General features: G+C 46.9%; 1 annotated feature.

The window, feature by feature from the left end:
* Positions 1,319–1,519: a silencer, noted in NCBI's record as "peak1024 fragment used in MPRA reporter construct". NCBI's record gives its function as "represses an SCP1 promoter by STARR-seq MPRAs in K562 erythroleukemia cells {active_cell/tissue: K562}" and the evidence as "EXISTENCE:reporter gene assay evidence [ECO:0000049][PMID:32103011]".

Below are 5,455 nucleotides of genomic sequence, written 5' to 3'. Positions count from 1 at the left end.
GTATATTTAAAGAAACTCCATTTTATTACCTCAGGAATCTAGTGGAACTATGCTAATAAATTGCTCCTCTGTGTAGATCTTAAGGGAAATATGCTTTAATGAACAGATGAGAATATTTCCTAATTCAGTCTATCCATTGTTTATATAGAAAGGGTTACTCATCAAGTGTTTAAGTTTACTTGAAATGCTTGCTCTTGTTTACAATCAGTATTTTAATGAACCCTGTGTTTATAAATGGTTTAAAATAAACTATCCATCTTGTCATTCCCTCTAAATTAGTGAAGTCCCAACTAATGCCTCAATGGCTCTGTTAGCATAAAATCAAAAGTCATTGTACCAGCTGGGTACGGTGGCTCACACCTGTAATCCTAGCTCTTTGGGAGGCCGAGGTGGGAAGATCACTTGAGGCCAGGAGTTTGAGACCAGCCTGGGCAACATAGTGAGACCTCGTTTCTACAAAAAATAGACCAAATTATTTTTTGTGGCCATGTGCCTATGATCCCAGCTACTTGGGAGGCTGAGGTGAAAAGGATCACTTGGTCCCAGGAGGTCAAGGCTGCAGTGAACCATGATCACGCCACTGCACTCCAGCCTGGATGACAGAGGGAGATCCTGTCTCAAAAAAGAAAGGAAAACAATAAAAAAAAAAAAAAAAAAAAAAAATCATTGTACCCATCACTGGAAAGAAATACTTAGCTTTTGCATGGGCTGTTCTTCCAGGGGTGGGGGTTTGGGGATCCGGCCCTATTCTTTCATATTTTGTGACACACATTCTTTCTCCCTCCTTTCTATGAATGTTTATTAAGGAACTAGTAATGTGTCAGACACTGTGCTGGGGTCTAAGTAACAGTCAACAATCTCACAGTCTAGAAAGGGAGACAGACATGAACAATGGGCAAGTATTGTAAAGTGCTGTAGGTACAAGGATAGCTGTATGAACAGAGGACAGTGGGGTTAGAGGAGTCAGTTCACCTAGGGAGCTTCATGAAGGCTTCAGCGTTGAATGGATTCTTAAAAATGGGGGATACGGCTGGGGGCGGTGGCTCACGCCTGTAATACCCACACTTTGTGAGGCTGAGGCAGGTAGATCACCTGAGGTTAGGAGTTCGAGACCAGCCTGGCCAACATGGTGAAACTCCGTCTTTACTAAAAATACAAAAAATTAGCCGGGCATGGTCGTGGGTGCCTGTAATCCCAGCTACTCAGGAGGCTGACGCAGGAGAATCACTTGAGCCCGGGAGGTGAAGGTTGCAATGAGCAGAGATCGTGCCACTGCACTCGTCTGAGCAACAGGAGCGAAACTCAGTCTCAAAAAAAAAAAAAAAAAAAGGGTGGGGAGGCCATAAGGCCGGGCGTGGTGGCTCACGCCTGTAATCCCAGCACTTTGGGAGGCTGAGTCAGGCAGATCACCTGAGGTCAGGAGTTTGAGACCAGTCTGGCCAACAGCCAAGATAGCACCACTGTATTCCAGCCTGGGTGACACAGGGAAACTCTAGTCTCAAAAAAAAAAAAAAAAGGAGGATATATTTAGTTGCACCATGGGCTATTAAAAAAAGAGAGGATGCTCCAGGCACAGTGGCTCACGCCTGTAATACCAGCACTTTGGGAGGCTGAGGCGGGTGGATCACGAGGTCAGGAGATCGAGACCAGCCTGGCCAACATGGTGAAACTCTGTCTCTACTATAAATACAAAAATTAGCTGGGCGTGGTGGCGGGCACCTGTAGTCCCAGCTACTTGGGAGGCTGAGGCAGGAGAATCACTTGAACCGGGGAGGCGGAGGTTGCAGTGAGCCGAGATCGTGCCAACTGCACCCCAGCCTGGGTGACAGTGCGAGAGTCTGTCTCAAAAAAAGGAGAATGTGTTTGGCAGACAGGGAGAAGAAGGGCAGCACATGAAGGAAAGGTGCTCGGGCCTGATACTGCAACTGCAAGACATATTTAGCCAGCTGCAAACAATATGGCAAGAATGAAAATGACAATGGATGGGATATTAGGGGAGAAGGTTACCCAGCAAGACCAGGCTGGAGAGGTCAGCTAAGGCCCGATTGGAACCTACGCAAGACAGTGCCTGCTCAAGTTCTACCTCCTCATGAAATTACAAGCATGAAATAAGACATAGACCCCCAGGTGTTGCTTAGCCCATATCCCCAGCCATGTCATGACCCATATATGCCCAGTCCAGGTCAAGGGAGAGCACGGGTTGGCTGTCCTCAGCACCAGACCCATATCGCATCTGGAGGATCATATTTAGGGCCTCAGTGACAAATTAGGGGGCATTGATGAGGCAAAAGAGTAAATCTCATCCCTGTTACTCTGTCTGGGCCATAGGCAGATGTCTAAAAATATGATTGCTGGCTGGGTGCAGTGGCTCACGCCTGTAATCCCAACACTTTGAGAGACCAAGGCAGGGAGATCGCTTGAGCCCAAGAGTTTGAAACCAGACTGGGCCACAAAGTGAGACCCTTTCTCTAACAACAACAACAAAAAATTTAAAAATCAGCTGCGTGGGCTGGGCGCAGTGGCTCACACCCGTAATCCCAGCACTTTGGGAGGCCGAGGAAGGTGGATCATGAGGTCAGGAGATCAAGACCTGCCTGGCCAACATGGTGAAACCCCGTCTCTCCTACAAATACAAAAATTAGCTGGGCATGGTGGCGTGCACCTGTAGTCCCAGCTACTCGGGAGGCTGAGGCAGGAGAATCACTTCAACCTAGGAAGCGGAGGTTGCAGTGAGCCGAGATTGCGCCACTGCACCCCAGCCTGGGCGACAGAGCGAGACTCTATCTCAAAAAAAAAAAATTAAATTAAATTTTAAAAAAATTAGCTGTGTGTGGTTGTGTGCACCTGTATCCCCAGTTACTCAGGAGGCCGAGGTGGGAAGATTGCTTGATCCCAGGAAGTTGAGGCTGCAGTGAGCCATGATTGCACCACTGTACTCCAGCCTGGGTGACAGACCAAGTCCCTGTCTCAAAAAAAAAAAAATTGTGATTTCTCAATTGAAAAATGTAAAAATCATTTGCATTGCTCCACTTAATTCCAGGCAAAGCCAAATGACGATGCACCAGTGAGTCACCAGTGAGATTGCATTTAAAATCTAGCAGCCTCAGAGCCAAGACCAGCCTTGTGTAAACAGAGTTCAGGGAGGAGGGAAGATAGTGGAGTGAGACGTGCCGAGGCCAGCCGGCCTCTGGGCTTGGGGTGCGCTGACCTCTGGGGAGCCGAGTGCATCTGCTGGACTGAAGGCAGAGTAATTTTTTCATCTCATGCAGAAGAAGAAAGAAGATATGTAGCAGAGGAAAGGAACGGAACATTCTCCCTCCCTACCTTACACAGGAGAGTGGTCATCTACACTAAAGCAAAACTTCCTTATCATAGGAAGACCATTTTCCTTGACCTTTAGGTGATTTTATAGTCATCTCGAAAGGGAAACAAAACTCAACTCAGGACTTGATTGAACACAGAGAGTCCACTAGGATGCAGTATTCCTGCCCACTTCTCCAGGAAGAAAGAAGCAAATGACGTGGGTCTTTTGGCACTGTTTGCTTAATTATAAAGAAATTATTTTGCAAGCTGAATACTGATGCTTTATTTGAAACAGGTGCTTAGTTGGTGGCATTTATGAATTCTTTACCTTTTGTTCCAAACCAAAAGACTAATTAAATAGCAAGTATTGGTGGGGAAAAAAAAGAAAAAAAAAAGACTTTGTTGGGCGCGGTGGCTCATGCCTGTAATCCTAGCACTTTGGGAGGCCAAGGAGGGCAGATCACGAGGTCAGGAGATCGAGACTATCCTGGCCAACATGGTGAAACCCGTCTCTACTAAAAATACAAAAATTAGCTGGGTGTGGTGGCACGCGCCTGTAGTCCCAGCTACTCGGGAGGCTGAGGCAGAAGAATTGTTTGAACCCGGGAGGCGGAGGTTGCAGTGAGCCAAGATCGCACCACTGCACTCCAGCCTGGGTGACAGAGCGAGACTCCCTCTCAAAAAAAAAAAAAAAAAAAAGACTTCAAAACAGTGTGGAATTATGGAAATGGATGCCATCCAAGAAGACTGGAAAAATACACTCTGACCTCTTTATGCAGTAGAGCTAGGCTTTTCAAGATACAGGAGACCAATGAGAAGGGTTTTTTTTAGGCCGGGCACAGTGGCTCATGCCTGTAATCCCAGTACTTTGGGAGGCTGAGGCAGGCGGATCACTTGAGGTCAGGAGTTCGAGACCAGCCTGGCCAACATGGTGAAACCCCATCTCTACTAAAAATACAAAAATTAGTAATCCCAGCTACTTGGGAGGCTGATGCAGGAGAATCACTTGAACCTGGGAGGCGGAGGCTGCAGTGAGCCGAGATTGCATCACTGCACTCCAGCCTGGGCAACAGAGTGAGACTCCATCTCAAAAAAAAAAAAAAGAGAGAAGGGTTTTTTTGTTTGTTTGTTTTGAGACAGAGTTTCACTCTTGTCGCCCAGGCTGGAGTGCAATGGTGCGATCTCCGCTCACTGCGACCTCTGCCTCCCGGGTTCAAGCGATTATCCTGTCTCAGCCTCCTGAGTAGCTGGGATTACAGGTGCATGCCACCACGCCCAGCTAATTTTTGTATTTTTGTATATATTTTTTGAAACAGAGTCTTGCTCTGTTGCCCCGGCTGGAGTGCAGTGGCATGATCTCGGCTCACTGCAACCTCCGTCTCCTGGGTTCAAACAATTCTATCTCAGCCTGCCGAGTAGCTGGGATTACAGGTGCCTGCCACCATGCCCAGCTAATTTTTGCATTTTTAACAGAGACGGGGTTTCACCACATTGGCCAGGCCGGTCTGGAACTCCTGACCTCAGGTGATCCACCTGCCTCGGCCTCCCAGAGTGCTGGGATTATAGGTGTCAGCCACCGCGCCTAGCTTAATTTTTGTACTTTTAGTAGAGATGGGATTTCATCATATTGGTCAGGCTGGTCTCAAACTCCTGACCTCAGGTGATCTGCCCGCCTCGGACTCCCAAAGTTCTGGGATTACAGGCGTGAGCCACCACGCCTGGCCTCAAAGTACTTCTATAATATGAACTCAGTAGGTCCTTATAATATCCTTAAAATATGCTAATAATAGCAATGTTTAACATTTATAATAATAATATTTAACACTTTACATCCTTTGCATTTTATCCTCAGAATAACCCTATGAAGGTAAGTACTATAATCACCTCAAAACGGAGAGAAAGCGAGGTTACGTGATTGCCCAAGGTTACTCAGCTAGTAAGTGGGGGAGCCAAGATTTGAATCCAGGCACTTGGCTTCTGAGTCTGTGTCCTTAAACCACTATGCTATCTGCCTTCCAAATATTATCATGCGTTATATCAAAGGAGGAAATTGAGACAGTGCAGTTTGGTGACTTGCCTGACCTCATACACAGTCCCATTACATCATGACTAAGAGACAGAACCCAGGTCTTCCCCTTGAAAGCCAAGCCCC

This window comes from Homo sapiens, chromosome 10 (assembly GCF_000001405.40).
Source record: "Homo sapiens chromosome 10, GRCh38.p14 Primary Assembly".
In the NCBI taxonomy this organism is placed as follows: domain Eukaryota; kingdom Metazoa; phylum Chordata; class Mammalia; order Primates; family Hominidae; genus Homo; species Homo sapiens.
Note: the sequence above shows the minus strand (reverse complement) of the source record. Positions and strands in the feature narration are given on the sequence as shown.